Source organism: Homo sapiens, chromosome 20 (genome assembly GCF_000001405.40).
Source record: "Homo sapiens chromosome 20, GRCh38.p14 Primary Assembly".
In the NCBI taxonomy this organism is placed as follows: Eukaryota; Metazoa; Chordata; class Mammalia; order Primates; family Hominidae; genus Homo; species Homo sapiens.
Window position 1 is genome coordinate 17535119 of NC_000020.11, and position 20452 is coordinate 17555570.

Below are 20452 nucleotides of genomic sequence, written 5' to 3' on the forward strand. Positions count from 1 at the left end.
CAAAATTAGAATATAAATAGTAGATTAGAACATAAAATTGTATCAAGATTAAATTTACTGAAGTTTATGACTATGCTACAGCTATGTAAAATAATATCATTATTCTTAGAAAATACACTCTGAGGGCTCAGGCTGGGCACGGTGGCTCACGCCTGTAATCCCAGCACTTTGGGAGACCAAGGTGGGCGGATCATGAGGTCAGGAGTTCAAGACCATCCTAGCCAACATGGTGAAACCCCATCTGTACTAAAAATACAAAAAAATTAGCAAGGCATGGTGCTACACACCTGTAGTCCCAGCTACTTGGGAGGCTGAGGCAGGAGAATCACTTGAACCCAGGAGGCAGAGGTTGCAGTGAGTCGAGATAATGCCAATGCACTCCAGCCTGGCAACAGAGCGAGACTTCATCTCAAAAAAAGGAAAATATACTCTGAACTATCTAGGAGCAAAGACCCATGATGTATGCAACTTATTCTCAAATGATTCTGAATAAAATGACATGTATAAATATAAACATAAATAAGTATGAGAGATAGTAAGGAAATTAGACAAAATATTAAGAGGTGAATCTGGGTTGTTTGTACTATTCTTGCCATTTTTCCTAGAAAGTTTGAAATTATTTTCCAAAACACCTGCAAAAAGTGTGATCACCTTTGCAGTATAGACATTTAATAAATATTACTTGCTTTATGTTATAGCTATATATATGTATAATGGCTAAGAGAGGGAGAGGTGCAGAGAGGAGAATGGCTTAGCAAACTGCAGTAACAATAGGAGAAAATGGGCTATAACCATTGAACAATTTTACTTATTTATTTTATTTATGTATTTATTTTTTTAAAAAAACAGGGTCTTGCTATGTTACCCACACTGGTCTCGAACTCCCTGCCCTCAAGCAATCCTCCTGCCTCAGCCTCCCAAAGTGCTGGGATCACAGGTAAGAGTTAGCACACCTGGCCCCACCAAACAATTTTAACCTTGTGGAATATACTATGATATAAATAAAAATGCTTATAACAAACTTGAAGGGGAAAAGAAAAGCAAAATACCAGATGCATGGTAATTTTAGCAGTACAAAAATATCAGAAATTAGTGAAATATGCCAGGTTTAATGTTCATCATATCTTTTATTCCATTTAAAGTTGTTTAAGGCTGGGTGAAGTGGCTCATACCTACAATCCCAGCACTTTGGGAGGCCAAGGCGGGTGGACTGCTTGAGCCCGGAAGTTCAAGACCAGCCTGGGCAACATCGTGAAACCCCATGTCGACAAAAAATATAGGCACATGCCTGTAGTCTCAGATACTCAGGAGGCTGAGGTAGGAGGATTGCTGGAGCCTGGGAGGCAGAGACTGCAGTGAGCTGAGATTGCACCACTGCACTCCAGTCTAGGTGATAGAATGAGACCCTGTCTCAAAAAATAAATAAAATAAAGTTATTTAAATGTAAAATACAGTTTCAAAATTTTTTAATTAACATTTTTCTTCACTAACAAATATCTAAAAGCCTGAGTAAAATAGGCTTAGATGTTTTGCCTTTTAGTCAATTTCATACTCTAGCATTTTGAGCCATCCCTTTCAGTTGAGATACATTCTGAGTTTGCTTTGGACATTTTACAGAAACAAAAGGTAATGGAGGTAATCATATATTCCTTAGAGGTGGGTTTCACGTTAGGTCTCTGCTGCCTACTATTGTGTGACCTTGAACAGGTCAATCTGTTTTCTACAATGATGGACTTAAGCTAAAGAATATCTAAGGTTCCTTTCTGCTTATTATGAGCAGAATTGTATTCCTCCAAATCTCACATGTTGAAGTCCTAACTCCCTCAAAATGTGGCTGCCTTCAGAGATGGGGCCTGTAAAGAGGTAATTGAGGCTGTTAGGGTGGACCCGTCTGTGGTGCTTTGTTCTGGAAGCCCTAGCAAACGAATACACTGCTCTAACACTCTGACTCTGCACCTTTTACCATCCGTCCTTTACCCAGAACATGCAAATGTCTGCCACAAGAGGGCCACCCTATACTAAAATTGAATGCCCTGCCACATGGTCCCACCAGGGTGCAGCTTGAAGCCTTTCCACCAAACTGGACCAACTCAAAAGGTAAGTCAGCCATGGAAAGTGACAGCCCAGGAGTAAAAGGGCAGGCAGACCCCTGGCTCCCGGATCCCTACTATCCCTGCTCCCTGTAGCCAGGCCTCTCCATGAGGCCCCAGTCTCTAAAGACGCACCCGTGAAGTATGCTCAGTGCTCCTGGAAGTGATGAGTCTGTAGGAAGGGTCACAGCAGATGGAGAAACACACTCAGAAGCAAGGCTCTCTCTCCAACTAACTGCACACACGCAGTTGACTCTGAAGAGTTGCTGGAAAATGAAGCCTGAGATTCAAACACTATCAAAGAGAGCACTAAGCATCCAACCTGCTTTTCTCAGGGTCTAATTCAGAAACTGAAGCACCAAAAAAAAAAAAAAAAAAAAACAAATTTGTGTGACAGCAAGTGTGTGCCTGGTGCTTTGACTGACAGGCACCGACAAAAGGCAGGATTACCAAATGTAATGCAGGATCCTAAACTGGACCCTAGACTGCAAAAATAAAATCTATAAGGGACATTGTGATGACAATTGATGAAATTTGAATATGGAATGAGGATTGATAAAAATATTGTAACAGAGTTAAAATGTCTAATTTTAAACATTGTATTACGACATGTAAGAAAATGACCTTGGCTGGGTGCTGTGGCTCACCCCTGTAATCCCAGCACTTTGGGAGGTCGAGGCAGGAGGGTTACTTGAGCCCAGGAATCCAAGACCAGCCTGGGCAATATAATGAGACCCTGTCTCTACCCCCAAAAATACAAAAATTGGCCGGGCATGGTGGCACATGTCTGTAGTTCCAGCTACTTGGGAGGCTGAGATGAGAGGATCACTTGAGCCTGGGAGGCAGAGGTTGCCGTGAGCCAAGACTGTGCCACTGCACTCCAGCCTGGGTGACAGAAGGACACTGTGTCTCAAAAGAAAAAAAAAAGAAAGAGAGAAAGGAAAGGAAAGGAAAGGAGGAAGGAAGAAAGGGAAGGGAAGGAAGGAAAGAAAATGACCTCGTTCATAGGAAACTGGTTTGGGGATGAGGCATGATGTCCAACTTACTCTCAATGGTTCAAAAAATAAATAATAGATATGCATTTATGTTGATATAAACATATATAAATAAATACATAAAATAATAAAGCAAATGATTGGTGGATTTAGGTAAGAGGTATAGAAGTTCCTTTTACTCCTCCTGCAACTTTTCCATAAGTTTGAAATTGTAACAAAAGAAAAAGTTACCTCTCAAAATCCCAACACCTCCAGGAAAATTGTGCTGAGAACAGGTGTTTCTTAATGATAGCAAGAAAACGCAAAAATCTTCCTTTGATTCACCAGATGGTATCATGATCTCAGCAACCAGGATTTCATTGACAACCACGGTAGGAGTTTTACACCTACCGAAATGATGGTACGGATTTTCAGAGACATCTGGACTTGCCTTCTCTGCACAGTCTCAGAATGTCCTTGAGACATTGTCGTACCAACTCATCGTCATTCTGGTTATGCATGAAAAGCAGCCCTTCCCATGACCTCAGAAATGCAGAAATGAGTCATTGTCCCAGCAGGTGCCATCCTCAGGACTGCGTTTGGAGAAGTGTCTTTTACAGTTATAATTTCTGTGGCTATAAATCTAGCCATGGTATTCATATTTCTGCCCTATATTTCTCTCTAAGATATCATTAAACAAACCTACCACCACTTTCAAGTTGGGTCAGCCTACATCTGAACCACAGCCCGTTTCCTTCTGGGAATACACTGTCAAGTGGTTTGATATATTACCAAGCCACAGTTGTCCAACTGGCATGCCCACTCTGTCCTAAAAAGAAGGATGTTCCAGCCCTGCTTTGTATCAGTTAGGAGATAGATCCCAAGGAATTGGGCACATGCATCCATGAATATATTTCTTCTTCTTTTTTTTTTTTTTTTTTTTTTTTTTGCAATGGGGTCTTGCTCAGCCCAGGCTGAAGTGCAGTGGTACAATCTCAGCTCACTGCAGCCTCAACCTCCTGGGCTCAAGCGACTCACCCACCTCAGCTGCCAAACTAGCTGGGACTACAGGTGCACACTACCATGCCCAGCTAATTTTTAAACTGTTTCATACACACAGGAGTCTTGCTGTGCTGCTCAGGTGGTCTCGAATTCCTGGCCTCAAGTGATCCTCCTGACTCAGCCTCCCCAGGTATTGGGATTACACGTGTGAGCCACCATGCCCAGCCCATGAATATATTTCTGATAGAAATATACATTCATATATTCATAGATTGAACATACATTTGGGGGCTGGGCATCTGGCTCTCGCCCAGCACTTTGGGAGGCTGAGGCAGGTGGATTGATTGAGCACAGGAATTTGAAACCAGCCTGGGCAACATGGCAAAACCCTGTCGCTATATATAAAAAATAATAATAATAATACAAAAAATTAGCTGAGCATGGTGGTGTGTACCTCTGTAGTCCTAGCTACTCGGGAGGCTGAGGTGGGAGGATAGACTGAGCCTGGCAGGTCAAGGCTGCAGTGAGCCATGATTGTGTCGCTGCACTCCAGCATGGGCCACAGAGCAAAACTCTATCTCAAAAAAAAAGACAAAAATTAAAAAAAGAAACATACATTTGGGCTGTCCATTGTTTTGTAGGTCCAGGTCTACTTTTCTATTAATATCAGTAGGGACTGATTGAACACAAGAGAACATGTTCTATCTTCCAAAGTTCACTAGCTTCCCAGCGTTGACCTGAAATTGGGGGGGACAACAATAGTGCAAGCTATTTTATGAACTATTTTCATATTGTGCATACAGTTTAGGAGTATAGTAAGGTACAGTTTAGGAGTATACTATACATTTTAAGCCCCTCAACGGCCCCTCAGACCTAAACTCCACATGAAGTTTTCTAATGAAATTCTAAAAATAGTCAGTTTACAGAAGTTCGCCATTGTTTAGCAGGGTCTGGCCAAAATTCAAAGAATGACCTATTCCAACCATCTGACTTGTTAGTTCATTTGGTAAGGAGCTACAAGTGATGTGAATATTTCCTGCTATTCCACCCTCTACCACCTGCCTGCTCATGATCAACTCCTACTGACTTCTATGCCTTCATTTATTTGAAATTTATGTCATCAGGCTTTACTTCTCACCCAGCATACATCATCCTTTTCTCCATTTGCCTGTCACCCTCAGCTTTGACACCAATATCTTCCCTACTCCTTTACACCTCCCACCCAACCCCTCATGTATATTAATGTATGCAGGAAGATGTCTAAAGTGGTCTTCAGTTCTACACACCCACGCCCCCATACCCCAAGACACCATTCCAGTTAAGGTCCCCCGCTGTTTACCTGGCAGACCTGCTGTATGAGTATCTTCACTAGACTGCAGCTCTTTGAGGGCAGGGCTGATAGCAATGCTGGGCATCCCTCAGTGGCCATTGTCCACCTGAGGATCTCCCCAGGTGCCCACCCTCCATCCTTCTCCATGCCTCTCTAAAACGCTGAAAGCCTGGCCCTCCCAGACTGCATCACCTCCGGGTGCCTCTCATGTCCTCTAGCTTCCTGTAGGGTTTGGCAAATGGGAGTCACTGTCAGGAGATCAAAAAGACTCCCTTCCTGCTTCCCTTCTGCTCTGGCATAATCTCTCCTCCAAGATCCTTTCCTCCTGCTCCTTTAAAGCCTACAGGTAGTAATAGTTTCCCACTGTTGCTACTACACCATGGGCACTTCACCATGCTTTGTTGATTCATTTGGCTCGTTAGATACTAGGAACGCTGGGAGCTACAAAATCTCATTCAGCAACTAGTTAAAGCTTCTGACACAAAGTGGATGCCCAATAAAATGAATTAAAGAGTGAGTGAATATTAGAGCCAGGAGCTGTAGCATGCACCTGTAATCCCAGCTACTTGAGAGGCTGAGGCGGGAGGATCACTGGAGACCGGGAGTTCAAGGCTGCAGTGAGCAATGATCATTCCTGTGAATAGCCACTGCACCCCATTCTGGGCAACATAGTGAGACCCTGTCTCTAAAAAAAAAATAATAATTAGTGAATATTAGATAGAAACTTGAAATAAAAGATAAAGTTTTTGCATGTTGGGAGGTTTGTCATGAAACTCTTAAATGGGAAAGCTGAATAGTGCTTGGCCAAAGATGGATCATTACAAGGGATCTTACCAGCAGTTCCAGGCCCTCTCATTCCACATTCGCTGATTGGGCTGTTTCAAGGGGCATGGTCAAATTTAGTAGCAGTCCAAAATTGAAATTTACTTTGCTGTCTGCTATGATGGCTAGGTTTACATTGTCTGTCATCATTAGAGGAAATATATAGGGACAGAACAAAAATACATTTATTAAGAAAGAGAACAGTGCACCAGTCAGCAGAAAGACTATAGTTATAAGACACATGAAAAGAAAAAGTTAATTCCTTGGAAAAGAGCTTTCTATTTTAAGAAGATGAACAAAATAAGAGAGGTCCTTAAGTGATAGCTAATGAAGACACTTCCCAGGCATCCTCAATGGCTGTGGCTTTTCAGATGTCAACCGAAAACAAAATCCATTACAAAGCGTAGCATCCAAGTTGGATATGGGTTGCTTATTTTGTTCTGTGGTCAGCCTTTGCTGAACATAGCAGTCTAAACCAGAGCCACAGAGCTGTGAGTGGTCCTTGTCTGTAAAATGCACTTGGACTGTCCTCGGTGACCCTAATTGCATGACTTGGCAAGAACAACAATTAAATAGGATATTTTGGACCAAATTCTCTCAGAGTACATTATTTTCTCAAGGTAACCTGAGTTTTGGGGTGACACACACAGTGTAACCAAAAGTGCCACTTTGCGAGGGTTTGCTAACTGATGTCCTCGTAACCTCCAAAATCAATTTCAGGGCATTGCAGAGTCAACACATCAATGTTCCCCTGCCTGCATTTGGGGCACTTGCTGGCTGAGTCACCTGCAGGAGTGTTCTGGAGTTGCCTCTTAGTAGATCATGAGAGCCAATTGCTAAATTTTCAGGAATTTTGCAAGCTGGTTGACACCTCATCGGTAGCTTGAAATTGGAAACGGTGAGAGTATCTACACCACAAGAATGATAAACACTACAAAGGAAGACATTTCTCTCCTAGAAAGTCAGCTGTTGGCCAAGCATTGTGGCTCATGCCTGTAATCCCTGCACTTTAGGAGGCCGAGATAGGAGGACTGCTTGAGCCCAGGAATTCAAGACCAGCCTAGGCAACATACAGAGACCTCATCTCTACCAAAAAAAAAAAAAAAAAAAAAATTCACCAGGTGTGGTGCCATGCACCTGTAGTCTCTGCTACTCAGGAGGCTGAGGTGGGAGGATCACTAGAGCCCAAGAGGTCAGGGCTGCAGTAAGCTATGATCGCACCATTGCATGCCTGCTCTGGTGACAAAGTGAGACCCCATCTTAAAAAGAAAAAAAAAAGTCAGTTGTTAAACATTTACTAACCTCACATTACCTATGAATAATACCATATCTCTGGTGATGGAAATTTTGGCATTCTTTCCTCAGTCTCATTAAGCTCAAAGAGAGTCTTCCTAAGTGTATTGTTTAACATGGAACCCTAAATTTAAATGCTAAGTTTTAAAAAATTAGACTAGAATTAGAGTATATAGCCTGAGAACATGGTTTGTTTTCATTTCTAGTTGGCTCAAGATGTTTCTGAAAAATAATTTATAATAAATTGCCTTATAAAGTTAAAATGCCTTCCAAAATTTTATAAGTCAATTTCAAAAACTAGGGAAGTCAGCCAGTAAATAAAGAGAGAAAGAGATTTATCTCAAAATAGTTTCAGCACCGCTAGAGGAATCTGTCTCTGTTTCAGTGGAAAAGGAGGCAGTTACTCCTAGCTAATCTCAATATTTTCTTTCCCCTGGAATAATGGCTGACCACTGGCTCTGTTGTTTTTGGCCAACTCCTCTACTGAAACAAAAATTTTGTAACTGCAGTGACCTAACTTGGGAAACAATTTTATAACATTTTCTAGGAACCACAAATCATTTGTTTCATTCTTTCTGAAGACCAACAGTGGCGGTAAGCAGAGAGTGTCTTTTGCCGTGTAACAAAGAAAAAACTTGATAAAGTCAGCAGCCAGAAGAGCATTTCAGTTCAAAGAAGGGTCATCCAGAGCCCATGAAATGTTGTCTTTCACATTAGGAATGAATATGCCTCACACAGCGTCATGACCGACTAAAACCCTGGATCAATCCAACTTGTTATTAGAGCATAAATGGTGACCTTTATTTATCACACAATGAATTTTAAGCTGGGAAGCCAGTTTTAAGAAAAACAGCAGCAACAGTGTTAGCTGCAAAAACATTTTAGAAGAGCTAGGAGAAAATAAAACATTATTGAACTTCTTCATGTGGCTAGAAAAAAAAAACCTTCTGGCATGTGACTCAGATTTCCATTGGGTGAATGCAGACTCATCCAAGTTATGCAACATTATTACTGTTGATAGGTTACAAAAAATCTATCAGCTCATCTATCAGAAAAATCCACCAGCAAAATGCCCTCAAAAGCTTATGAAATATGTACCAGTGAAGATATGCGAAGCAACTTGATATGCTGTTGTAGGACATGTGGTCATGAAAACTATGTCCGCTTAAGTTAAATAGTCTGGATTTAAATCCTTCATGACCCATTAGCTACATGACTTACACAAGACACTGAACCTCTCTAAGCCTCACATGCTTCATGTATAAACTGGACGTGATAGAAGTTCCCAAAAGAGTTGTTGTGAGACTTAAATGTTGTCTGGCATATGGTAAGTGCTTAACAAATATCTGCCTTTATTTTTTGCACATGGTCTATGTTTATTTTAAGCATCCGTCTTAGCTTGAAGTCCCCCAGAAGCCAACTCCGTGGCAAGGATTTGAGTACAAGTAATGTATTTTGGACATGATCCCAGGACACCAGTAGAAGAGTGGGGAAGTGAGATGGGGAAGGGAAAGTAGCCAATGATGGCAGGGTGACCACCATCACCATGGGGGCAACTGGATCTCAACATATCTAAGGGTTCTAGGAGACAGAGTAGAATGCATCACAGAGATATCCCAGGCAAGGGACGCGAAGCTGGGTACTTATCCACCAATCCCCTATCCATCATTGGTTGAGGGCTGCTCCCTACACAGCCCCAACTCCCAATTGTGCAGCACTTGTGGGACAGAAAGTGGCAGATGGTTTAGAGTAAGCAGGCTTTAGCACATAGAGGTGAGTGCTGAGGGGGTACGGGGGTGCAGCACAGCCACTGCTACAGCCCCACATTATTGTTTTCAGGTAATCAAATTAGCTGAAGTACCTCTACATAGTTATTTTAATAGATCAGCTCTCTAGAGATAATAATGTAACAAAACAAAAGAGCTGTGTCTATGCTGGTTTTAATGGCAGTACTAAGACAAGAAATAAATTACCTAACTTAAAAAAATCAGTATGAGAGTTCCCATTAAATCAACACAGAGTTGGGAATAATATATGGAGTTAAAACCATAATTCTGTTTTGAACCTCTTACCACCTCCTGAATATCCATCACCTAAAATTACAGATGTATCTGTTATTTTTCACAGTGCTGTGGAATAGCCAAGACATCATGAAAACGTAAAACATCCCTCTTTTTCCAAAAATCATCAAGCTTTTAGCAGCTGTAATAATAGGCTTCCCCAGTAACTGAAACCAATCAAGTTTTTAGGACAAATAACATTTTAAGACTTTCCCATGCATCCAGACAAAGGTTCAAACACTAAAATGATCATTAACACCTACAAACTGCATTCCCAAGCTGAGAAATGTATCTGTTACATAATCTGATCATTTGTGTTCTTGTCATGTGAAAAGGGGAAAGTCAATATTTTACTAACCTCTCATTCTTGGGCTCTCAATGCAATAGAAATTGACATGAGGACAAAAGAGTTTTCCCAGGCGAGGCTTCAATGGAGCTTATGCCCAGGCAAAAGGGAGGTAGCACAAGAGAAAAAGAGAATTGCCTGACTGACTTTCCAAAAAGAGCAGGTAGGGCTTTTTTTTATTAGGCAAAGCATGAGCATTGACACTGGGGGTAGGGTTTGCGGGCTGGGCTGGACGAAGCACAGGAGAGGTAGGGTATGCAGGTGGCATAACTGGTTGTGATGGTTATCTTGAGTAATGGGCCATCTGATGGTCTGGCCAGCATCAACAAGGCTGTAAATTAATTGTTCAGCATTCCTTCCTTGGTTTGATATTTAGATTTCCTAAGGCCAGTTCCTGGAATTCTTTAAGTAAAAGGCATGGTTAAACATTATGAAGGAGGGGGCCGGGCACGGTGGCTTATGCCTGTAATCCCAACACTTTGAAAGGCCAAGGTGTTAGAGAAGCAGGAGCCTAAGACAGCCAGAGTGAAAACATTTTAAAATCAACTCCATCTTAAAACTAGTGAGGCACACTCTTTTCCAGTCACAACCCATGGTCCTAAGGTGTTTACAACCTAGGAGGCAGCTTGGTAATGCCTGCAAGGGCAAACTCCTACAACAACAGAAAACCTAGATGTCCCAATACCAATAACAAGATATGCTTTCAAGATCATTATACTTATGCTTTGATGTACTTGCACACTAAAATGCCAAAGATAGTTTTCTTTAAATCAACAGAATAATACATTTTGTCATGCTGTCGGCCCACCTGCACATTGGCACAGCTTAGTTTAGTCTTTACATAGACAAGACCCCATATGAGAAAAACTTGAAACAAAAATGGTGTGTTCCTCCTCTTGCTTTCTGAAAATGTGCTACTCTGTGACAGAGTAGCTTCCAATAAACTATCTCGTCTTTCATCACACTTTACCACTTACCTTGAATTCTTTCCTGTGCGAGATCCAAGAATCTCCTCCTGGGGTCTGGATCAAGACCACTGTATTAGTCCATTTTCGCACTGCTATAAAGAACTTCCCAAGGCTGGGTAATTTATAAAGGAAAGAGGCTTAATTGATTTACAGCTTCGAGTGGCTGGGGAGGCATCAGAAAACTTACAATCATGGCAGAAGGGGAAGCAGGCATGTCTTACATTGTGACAGGTGAGAGAGAGGGAGAGCACGTGAGACTGCAAGAAGAACTACCATTTATAAAACCATCAAATCTGATGAGAATTCACTCACTATCATGAGAACAGCATGGAGAAACCGCCGCCATAATCCAATCACGTGGGGATTACTCGTCCTCTCTCAACATGTGGAAATTACAATTAAAGATAAGATTTGGGGCTGGGCGAAGTGGCTCATGCCTGTAATCCCAGCACTTTGTGAGGCCAAGGCAGGTGGATCACCTGAAGACAGGAGTTTGAGACCAGCCTGGACCAACATGTTGAAACCCCGTTTCTACTAAAAATATAAAAATTAGCTGGGTGTGGTGGTGCACACCTGTAGTCCCCACTACTTGGGAGGCTGAGGCAGGAGGATCCCTTGAACCCGGGAGGTGGAGGTTGCTGTGAGCCAAGATCACACCACACTGCATTCCAGCCTGGGCAACAGAGTGAGACTCCATTTAAAAAACAAAAAAAACAAAGAAGAAAGCAGCTCTTTGTTTCAGCTAGGAGCGGTGGCTTACGCCTGTAATCCCAATACTTTGGGAGGCCGAGGTAGGTGGATCTCGAGGTCAGGAGTTCGAGACCAGCCTGGCCAACATGGTGAAACCCTGTCTCTACTAAAAATACAAAAATTAGCCGGGTGTGGTGGCAGGTACCTGTAATCCCAGCTACTTGGGAGGCTGAGGCAGGAGAATTGCTTGAACCTGGGAGGCAGAGGTTGCAGTGAGCTGAGATCATGCCACTGCTGCACTCCAGCCTGTGTGACAGAGCAAGACTCCATCTCAAAAAAAAAAAAAAAAAAAAAGATTTGGGTGGGGACACAGAGCCAAACAATGTCAACTCCTTTTTCCAGTAACAGAGGCAGGAGTATTCCTTGAGTCCGGGAGTTTGAGACTAGTCAGGGCAACATGGTAAGACTTTGTCTCTGTAAAAAATTAAATATAATTAAGGAAAAAATAGTAAAATAAATAAATAAATATATATATGAGGGAGGAAGTCTGTCCCATTCCTATTGTACCTCAATTCCCCCAGAGAGATTTCATCCTTCTTATTCTTAAGGAGACAGGGCCAAAGATCTCATCTTCCGAAGCTGCTTCCTGCTGAACAGGGTTGTCATCCTTGCCTAATTTTGAGGGCACTGAAATCTCTCGCTTACTGTTTTAAAGACCTGTAAAAACTGGGCTCCTCCTGGGATGGTGTGGATTGGAATATTTGGGCCATTATTAGCTTGATTCAGAACTGTTGAAGCCTGGAAGACATAAACTTTAACCATCTGTACCCCTGTTGAATATAACAAATAATCATTTTAAAAATCAAATAGCACCCAATGATAATTAATAAAATGCTTAAGCCCAGTTTAACAATGTTTGTAAAAAGAAATTGGATGGCATTTGGAATCTAAGTGAATTGGTTGGAAAACCAGCCTCCTGCTGTCTAAAACATAAAGCAAGTGGATTTTTAATAAGAGACATGTTTTTTTTCTTTTTCTTTCTTTTTTTTTTTTTTTGAAACAAGGTCTCATTCTGTTGCCAGGCTGGAGTGCAGTGGTGCAATCTCAGCTCACTGCAACCTCTGCCTCACAGGCTCAATCAATTCTTCTGCCTCAGCCTCTCAAGTAGCTGAGATTACAGGCTTATGCCACCATGCCCGGCCAATTTTTTTTTTTTTTTTTTTTTTGTATTTTTAGTAGAGACAGGGGTTTCACCATCTTGGCCAGGTTGGTCTCAAACTCCTGACCTCAGGGGATCTGCCTGCCTCAGCCTCCGACAGTGCTGGGATTACAGTTGTGAGCCACTGCACCCAGCCAATAGAGGCATTTTTATGGAAACGGGGGAAAAACAAATATTAATAGTGGGCATAATCTATCCAGAGAATGTTAGTTTGGAGTTGTAGCCTGGAAAGAATTTAAGATCTAGTCCAAATTGCAGAAAATAATGCAAAAAAAAAAAAAAAAAAAGAAAAACCCTCAAAAACGACAGACAAGGCTAGAATCTAATAGCATGTGTATGATAATGTTTTTCTCTCTAGTCTCTCATTTTTATTAAAAACAAATTATGGTACGATCAATTTATTTACAAAATAAGTTTTAGTCTTACTATTCTTGGCCTGATGATTTGCATAAAGTTTACCAATAATAATTATTTGCCTTACAGGCTCTCTTAAACTGGCTTTGCTGAAACTTTTTACATAAGAAATCTCAGATTCAGACTTGTTAAAGCCTCAAGCCCAGCCACAAATTTATCTGTTCCTGCAAATACCTGTATGAATTGGGTGAATTCCTCTCCTCTGGAGGTCCCAAGATAACTTGGGGTTCTTGGGCCATTAGAAAGTGACATTCTTTTCTCACCAGGTACAGAGACTGCATAGACCGAGTATGATGCCAGTCTTCTCCAAGGGGCTTTTATCAGTTCTTGGAGTCAACCTCAATTTTTAAAAAATCAGTCTAAAAGCATAACATTTCAGTCAAAGCCTTGGTAAAATAACCAGTCTCCAACTGTGTATTTTTACAAAAGAAAACAGATTCTTATACTTATTGTTTTTTGGTGGTGGTAGTTTTGTTTGTTTGTTTGTTTGTTTGTTTTTTAGATGAGGTCTTGCTCTGTCACCCAGGCTGGAGTGCAGTGGTGTGATCATAGCTCACTATAGCCTCAAACTCCTGGGCTCAAGGGGTCCTCCTGCCCTTGCCTCCCAAATAGCTGGGACTACAAGCACATGCCACCACATCAGGCTAGTTTTTAAATTATTTTTTGTAGAGATAGAGTCTCACTATGTTGCCCAGGCTGGTCTCAAACTCTTTGTCTCAAGTGATTCCCCTGCCTTGGCCTCCCAAACTGTTGGGATTATAGGTGTGAGCCACTATGCCAGCCCCATATTTCCCTTTTGCAGCACTTGATCTTGGCTGCATGAATCCAGTTGCTTCTGTGTTTTGCCATGTTTGTTATTCCTTCTCAGCCTCTAGAACGAATCCTCTTAAATATCACATCTTTGAATTACTGGGGTTCCTGGTTGTATTAGTCTGTACTCGCACTGCTATAAAGAAATACCAAGACTGAGTAATCTATAAAGAAAAGAGGTTTAATTGACTCATGGTTCCTTAGGCTGTACAAGAAGCATGGCAGGTTCTGCTTCTGGGGAAGCCTCAGGAAACTCACAATCATGGCAGAAGGAAAGCAGGGGCAAGCACGTTTTACATCACCAGAGCAGGAGCAAGAGAGAGAGTGGGGAGGTGCTTCACACTTTGAAACAAGCAGATCTCATGAGAACTCTATCACGAGAACAGCACCAAAGGGATGGTGCCAAACCATTCACAGTCCAGGCACAGTAGGCTCATGCCTGTAATCCCAGCACTTTGGGAGGCCAAGGAGGGTGAATCACTTGAGGTCGGGAGTTCGAGACCAGCCTGGGAAACATGGTGAAACCCCGTCTGTACTAAAAATACAAAAACTAGCCTGGCGTGGTGGCACACACCTGTAATCCCAGCTACTCAGGAGGCTGAGGCACAAGAATCACTTAAACCCGGGGGGCAGAAGTTGCAGTAAGCCAAGATCGTGCCACTACACTCCAGCCTGGGAAACAGGGCAAGACCCTGTCTCAAAAATAAATAAATTAATTAAATAAAAAGTAAACCACTCATAAAGGATCTACCCTTATGATCCAATCACCTCTCACTAGGTCCCATCTGCAACACTGGGGATTACAATTAGACATGAAATTTGGGTGGGGACATAGATCCAAACCATATCACTAGGAGATCTGTCCCAAGCCCACTTCTCTATTTACCCTCAGAATAGTTCTCAACCTTTCCAGGCCATGAGGTAGTACCACTCGGGATTGCTTTCAGATGCACACAACAGGCTTACCCACATCAGGATTATTTTTCTCTAATTGTTGCCAGGAAAGGGATCCTGACCCAGACACCAAGAGGGGGTTCTTGGACTTTGTGCAGGAAAGAAGTCAAGGCAAGTCACAGAGAACAGTGAGAAGAGAAAGCTTATTAAAAGCCACTTAGTTACAGAGTAGGGTGTCCTCAGAAAGCAAGAGGAGAAATGTCTCATCTTTGTTTTAAATTTTTCTTATATAGGGTCTTACCTATATAAAAGTTAAGCTATATCTACCTGTTGGGGGGCTGACAGTGTCACAAGATTTATTAGTTTGTTGATTTAAAGAAAACTGTTCTTGGCATTTTAGTGCATAAGTACATCAAAGCATGACTATAATCCTTTTTTTTTTTTTTTTTTTGAGACGGAGTTTCACTCTTATCTCCCAGGCTGGAGGGCAATGGCGTGATCTCAGCTCACTGCAACCTCTGCCACCCAGGTTCAAGCTATTCTCCTGCCTTAGCCTCCTGAGTAGATGGAATTACAGGTGCCCATCTGCCCACCACCACACCCGGCTAATTTTTGTATTTTTAGTAGAGATGGGGTTTCACCATGTTGGCCAGGCTGGTCTTAAACTCCTGACCTCAGGTGATCCACCCGCCTCGGCCTCCCAAAGTGCTGGGATTACAGGCGTGAGCCACCGTACCTGGCCAACTACAATCATTTTAAAAGCATGTATTATTATGCAATACCAGGACATCTGGACATTTTTTTCTGTCATAGTTTATCCTTGCAGGCATTGTTAAGCTGTTTCCTCAGCTGTAAACATCATATAACCACAGGTCATGATAGACAAGAAATGTGCCTTGCCAGTTTTACGATGGAGTTGATTTTAAAATGGTGCCACTCTGGCTCTCCTATGCTCCTGCTTCCCTAACATGATGACATGCAGTCCAGAGGTAGGCAGTTCAGGGCGAGTGTGGTGGAGCCTTCAGTCCCAGGTTCATTCCAACTCTTCACTCTGCTGGCTTTAGTATGTGGCTTAGTGCCTGTATTAGGCCATACTTGCATTGCTATAAATACCTTAGACTGGGTAATTTATAAAGAAAAGAAGTTTAGTTGGCTCACGGTTCTGCAGGCTGTACAGGAAGCATGGCACCAGCATCTGCTCGGCTTCTGAGGAGGCCTCAGGGAGTTTTTACTCATGGTAGAAGGCAAAGGGGGAGCTGTCTGGTCACACAGTGAGAGTGGGAGGAAGGCAGAGAGGTGCCACACACTTTTAAATGACCAGATCTCTCAAGAGTTCACTCACTGTCACAAAGACAGCACCAGGGAGAAGGCGCTAAGCCGTTTATGAGTGATCCACACCCACGATCCAATCACCTCCCACCAGGCCCCTCTTCTAACATTGGGGATTACAATTCAACTTGAAATTTAGAGGTGACAACATCCAAACTATATCAGTGCTCAAGCTCACAGATGGCTGCTACCCTTAGGTATCACATCTGTACCTGAAATCACTTGTACATCTACACCACCAATCTTATTCATGTATTTATTCAACAAATATGTATTGACAACCTACCCTGTGCCAACACTCTTCTGGGCCTTGGGATACAGAAGTGAAAAAAATAAAATAAGGCTGGGTGTGACGGCTCACACCTGTAATCCCAGCACTTTGAGAGGCAGAGGCGGGTGGATCACCTGAGGTCAGGAGTTCAAGACCAGCCTGACCAACATGGTGAAACCTCGTCTCTACTAAAAATACAAAAACATTAGCTGGGCATGGTGGCGGGCACCTGTAATCCCAGCTATTCAGGAGGCTGAGGCAGGAGAATTGTTTGAACCCAGGAGGCAGAGGTTGCAGTGAGCCGAGATCACACCATTGCACTCCAGCCTAGGCGACAACAGCAAGACTCTCTCTCAAAAAGAAAAAAAAAGAAGAAAATAAAAATCCCTGATCCCTGTTCTTGTGGAGCTTATATTCAATTGGAGAAAACAGAAAGTAAATAAGATAAATAAGTGAAAAATAGAGTATAATAAGTGGTGATAAGTGTTACAGAGAAAAATAAAGAAAAGGGAACTGGGAGGATGGTGGGGCATCTGGTAATTTTAGACAGGGTGGTCAGAGAAGACCTCACTGAGGAGGTTACATCTGAGTAGAGAACGGAAGGAAGTGATGGGAAAGCCATTTGGATTCTTGAAGAAAGAGCGTTCTAAACATGGGGAAGAATAAATATAATAGGATGTGCCTGGTTTGTTCAAGGAAGGGTGCAGAGGCCATCATGGCAAGAGTGGGGCAGGTGAGGATAGAGTGCGGGTCAGATGAGGTCAGGAAGGGCAACGAGAGGACAGATCCCACGGGATTTCTACAAATCCTCCATAAGGATTTGGCTTCACTGTGAGAGTAAAGGGAAGCCTTTGATAATTTTGGCAAGGAAGTGGCATAAACTGACCTACAACTTAACAGCATGGCTTTCATGGCTGTGCTGAGAATAGCAGAAGCAGAGAGACCAGCCAAGAGACCATTGCAGTAATCCAGTTTAGAGGTGATGGTGAGTTAGACCAGGGTGATAGCAATGGAGGTAATGAGGAGTGATAGAATTCTATATATATTTTGAGGGTAGAACCAACAGAATGTACTGATGTGGGATGTGAAAGAGAAGAGACAAGGATAAAATCTGAAGCTGGAAGGATGAAATTGACATTTACAAGATGGGGAAGACTGGAAGTGAAGCAGATTTGGGGGAAAAATATCAAGATTTCTGTTTTAATTATGAGAAGTTGAGATGTCTATGAAACATCCAAGGGCAAGTGTTGAATAGACAGTTGCATCTACAAGTCAGAAATCTGGAGAGAGGTCAAGGACAGACATAAATTTGGGAACCAACAGCAGAGAGAAGATATTTAAAGTCATGAAACTGAATCAGAAAACTAAGGGAATTAGTGCAGAGAGTAAAGAGAAGAAGTCTAAGAACTTAGTATGCATGGGGACTCTGGAGATCAGCGGTTAGGAGATGAAGAGGAACCAGCAAAGGAGCCTGAAAAGGACCAGATAGGTAGGTGGAAAATCAGGAAGAGTGTGTGGGATTCCGGAAGCCAAGTAAGTAAAGTGTTTCAAAGTGAAGAGAAGATATGACTGACTATGTTGTATGAGATGAGGACTAAGAATTGGCCATTGGATTTAGCAATGTGACGTTCCATGGTCATATGAGTAAAAGCAGTTTCAGGAAAGTGGTGGGGAAGAAACTATGAGGATGAAATGCCAAACTCAACAAGAACAACTAAAATCCATGGAATAAAATTCACAGGGTAGACAAAAAAACAAAAACAAAAATCCTCAATGAAAGAACAATTACTTCAATCAACAACTTCAACAAATATTTAGTGTTTATCATCTATGTGCCAAGTGACATTCGAAAAATTCATTGGCAATTCAGTGATGAAGAAAACAAAGTACCTATACTTATGGAGCAGATATTCTATTAGGGTTAAAGAGACAGTAAACAACTAAACAAATATACAGTGTGTCAGTTGCTGATAAGTGCTTCAAAAATCATACAGAACAGAAAGAGGATAGACAGTGGAGGCAAGTGGGGTGGCAAACTACTTTAGATAAGGTGATCATCAAGGCCTTTCGGATTTATTAGTAGAGAGCTCATCTTATACCAGTTAGAATTGGGATCTTTGAAAAGACCTGTTAAAAATATATAAACATATATATATATATATATACACACACACACACACACACACACACACACATATATATATATACACATATATATACATATATATACACATATATATACATATATATATATACACACATATATATTTCTGATGGCAAGTCTGAGTAAATACAAGAGAAGTCACAATTTAATTATCTTTGGCACAAAGATAATTAAACTACAGTTGCAGATGGCATATTTTTAGCATTAGGGAATAGAAACTATTATGTACAGTATTATGTCCCCCAAATTTAAAATCTACATAAAATGCATGATTTTCTAGAAAAAAAGACAAAGTGCCAAAGTTGACTCAAGAAATAGAAAACTTGAGAAGAACAAAAGAAAATATAAAAATTAGTTTAAGGCTGACTTTGTTAGATTTATGTTTAAGATCAGGTCTAAGGACCTGCTGGTTTCTCAGGCCAATACTATCAAAGCTTTAAGGTACAGGTAAGTCTTGCCTTATATAACTTGTTCAGAGAAAAGGCAAAGAAGGAAATAGTCCCAATTTATTCTTTATTTTGTGTTTTCACAAACACAAAACCAAAATAAAACATAGGCCTTCCTTGTGAAAATAAATGTAAAGATCCTAAGTAAATGACTAATAAACCATATCTAGCAGTAGTTCCAGAGAACACACCTCAAGCCCGAGCAGAATGTATCATAGAAGGCCACAATTGTTTGGCATTAGCGAATCCATTAATATAATTTACTACATTAACAAATTAAAGGAGGGGAACACCTAGTTAATGAAACTAAATACCCACCACTGATGAAAAGTCTTACAAAAATAAGACAAGAAATTTATTTGACATATTAAAGGATATCTGCCAGAAGCCTAACAGAAAGAGCAGAACAGATGATGGAATATTAGATGCTTTTCCACCAAAGTCAGGAACAAGATAAGGATCGCCACCAGTCAGCATTATGCTTCCAAACCTAACCCATGCAATGACAAGAATTAGAAATTAGTTATAAAAATTAGAAACAAAGAAATAGAACTCTCATTTGTTGCTTATATCTCATTCCCATAACGTCTAAGAAAATTAAGAGGAAAAGTATTAGAATTAATGAGGGCTCAGTAAGATGGCTGGCTATAAGACTAATAAACAAAATCAAATGTTTGTCTTTAATAAACAATAATGAATTATAATTAACTAAAAATCACAAAATACCTTGAAATAATCTAATTAAGCCATGCATAGACTCTACATGAAGAAAAGTAGGCCAGGTGCAGTGGCTCATGCCTGTAATCCCAGCACTTTGGGAGGCCGAGGTGGGAGAATCACATCAGCCCAGGAGTTTGAAACCAGCCTGGTCAACAAAGTGAGAACCTGTCTCTACAAAAAATTAAAACAAATTAGCCAGGCATGGTGGTGCATGCCTGTGGTCCCAGCTACATGGGAGGCTGTGGCAGGAGGATCTCTTGAGGCTGCAGTGAGCTGTGTTCGTGCTGTTGCGCTCCAGCCTGGGTGACAGAGTGAGATCCTATCTCACAAAAAAAAAAAAAAAAAAAAAAAGAATAGTACAAAGTTTTACTGAGAGTCACAAAGGAATGCCCAAACAATTACAGAAACATGGCCGGCAGTGGTGGTTCATGCCTGTAATCCCAGCACTGTAGGAGGCCAAGGTGGGCAGATCACCTGAGGTCAGGAGTTGGACACCAGCCTGACCAACATTGTGATGTCCTGTCTCTACTAAAAATAGAAAAATTAGCCAGGCATGGTGGCCCACACCAGTAATCCCAGATACTTGGGAGGCTGAGGCATGAGAATCGCT

General features: G+C 41.6%; 1 protein-coding gene across 4 annotated transcripts in view, besides 2 other annotated features; it reads right to left on the reverse strand.

Annotated features, from left to right (window-relative positions):
• Nucleotides 1-20452, reverse strand: part of BFSP1 (beaded filament structural protein 1) — a 75316-nt gene that overhangs the window by 41214 nt on the left and 13650 nt on the right. The window contains exon 2 of one of the 4 annotated variants that reach the window (NM_001278606.2): nt 5947-6081. The exons of the other annotated variants lie outside the window; for them this stretch is intronic. The gene's annotated coding sequence lies outside the window, so the exon portion shown is untranslated. The remainder of the gene's footprint in view (nt 1-5946; nt 6082-20452) is intronic. 4 annotated transcript variants of the gene reach the window in all.
• Nucleotides 2069-2138: a silencer, noted in NCBI's record as "silent region_12688". NCBI's record gives its function as "represses an Ori minimal core promoter by ATAC-STARR-seq in GM12878 lymphoblastoid cells {active_cell/tissue: GM12878}" and the evidence as "EXISTENCE:reporter gene assay evidence [ECO:0000049][PMID:35858748]".
• Nucleotides 3513-3713: a silencer, noted in NCBI's record as "peak4154 fragment used in MPRA reporter construct". NCBI's record gives its function as "represses an SCP1 promoter by STARR-seq MPRAs in K562 erythroleukemia cells {active_cell/tissue: K562}" and the evidence as "EXISTENCE:reporter gene assay evidence [ECO:0000049][PMID:32103011]".